General features: G+C 35.2%; 1 annotated feature.

Moving 5' to 3' along the window:
• Positions 328-497: an enhancer, noted in NCBI's record as "experimental_26510 CRE fragment used in MPRA reporter constructs". NCBI's record gives its function as "activates a minimal promoter by MPRAs in K562 erythroleukemia cells, with activity observed for the non-introgressed 12:22122207 variant allele {active_cell/tissue: K562}" and the evidence as "EXISTENCE:reporter gene assay evidence [ECO:0000049][PMID:34662402]".

Raw genomic sequence — 1311 nt, 5'->3', positions numbered from 1 at the left:
CAACTCGGATGTATAATTTAGTAATTAAATAAATATTTATTGCATTCAGGCAGAATGTCAGATGCTACAAAATTCTGATTTAGAAAATGGACATGGCTCTTTATTGGTGGTAGTGGTGGAGTTATAGGATAAAGGGCCAAATTTGAATCTACTTTTAAGTTGAAACACAAGATGATAAGAAACATTGATCTTGAGATGGGTTTCTTTGGATTAAACTGTCAGGTTCATGAAGATATACATTTGTTCTCAAATGTTGAGGGTAGCTCTGTGGAACAGCTTTGGAGAAACATATGTAAAGCTGGAGAAGCATGAGAGAAATAGGATCTGAACTTCTGTTGAGCAGATGTAGAGTTTTTGAGGTTCCTACTCTGCCTGTGAGCTGCCCTGGCTGTTAGTGGTTGGTTGTCTTTAACAAACATATAGTGTCTTCACTGAAACTAGTGATTAGCTCCTGGCCCAAAGAACACTCTTTGCCTGTGGCCTTTGAACACTGGCAGAGCATGAATAACTTTCTCCCTCTTTTTTTCTTCACATCTGGTAATCTCTCTTTTTTTTTTCCTTTTTACTTGACATGTAATGATTGTAGGTATTTATGGGATACTGAATGGTACTTTGATACATGTATATAAGGTATAATGATCAAATCAGGGTAATTAGCATATCCGTCACCTCAAATGTTTATCATTTCTTGGTTTAGGGAACTTTCAAAATCTATCTTTTTGAAAATATAAAAGAAAATTAATTATGTCAAACTACAGTCATTCTACAGTGCTATCAAATGCTAGAACTTATTCCTCCTATCTACCTGTAGCTTTGTATTTTCTAACCAATCTTTCTCTATTTCTCCCCCAGCTGCCCTTCCCAACCTCTGGTAACCACAATTCTTCTCTCCACTTCTATGATTGCAACTTGTTTTTAGCTCTTACATATGAGGGCTATGATTGCAACTTGTTTTTAGCTCTTACATATGAGGGATAACAGTATTTATCTTTCTAGGCCTGACATTTCATTTCACATAAGGTCCTCCAGGATCAACCATGTTGCTGCAAATGAACAGATTTCATTCTTTTTTATGACTGAATAGTATTCCATTCTCTACATGAACCAAATGTTCTTTATCTATTCATCTGTTGATGGGCATTCAGGTTGCTTCCATATCTTGGCTATTGTGAATAGTGTTATAATAATAAACATGGGAGTGCTGATATCTCTTCAATATACTAATTTTCTTTCTTTTGCTTAAATACTCGGTAGTGGGATTGCTGAACCATAACTAAACTAGTTATAGTTTTAGTTTTTTTGCAAAACTTC

The sequence above is a fragment of the Homo sapiens genome, chromosome 12, assembly GCF_000001405.40.
Source record: "Homo sapiens chromosome 12, GRCh38.p14 Primary Assembly".
Classification (NCBI taxonomy): Eukaryota; Metazoa; Chordata; class Mammalia; order Primates; family Hominidae; genus Homo; species Homo sapiens.
The sequence above is the reverse complement of the archived record's forward strand: the minus strand, read 5'-3'. Positions and strand labels throughout refer to the sequence as shown.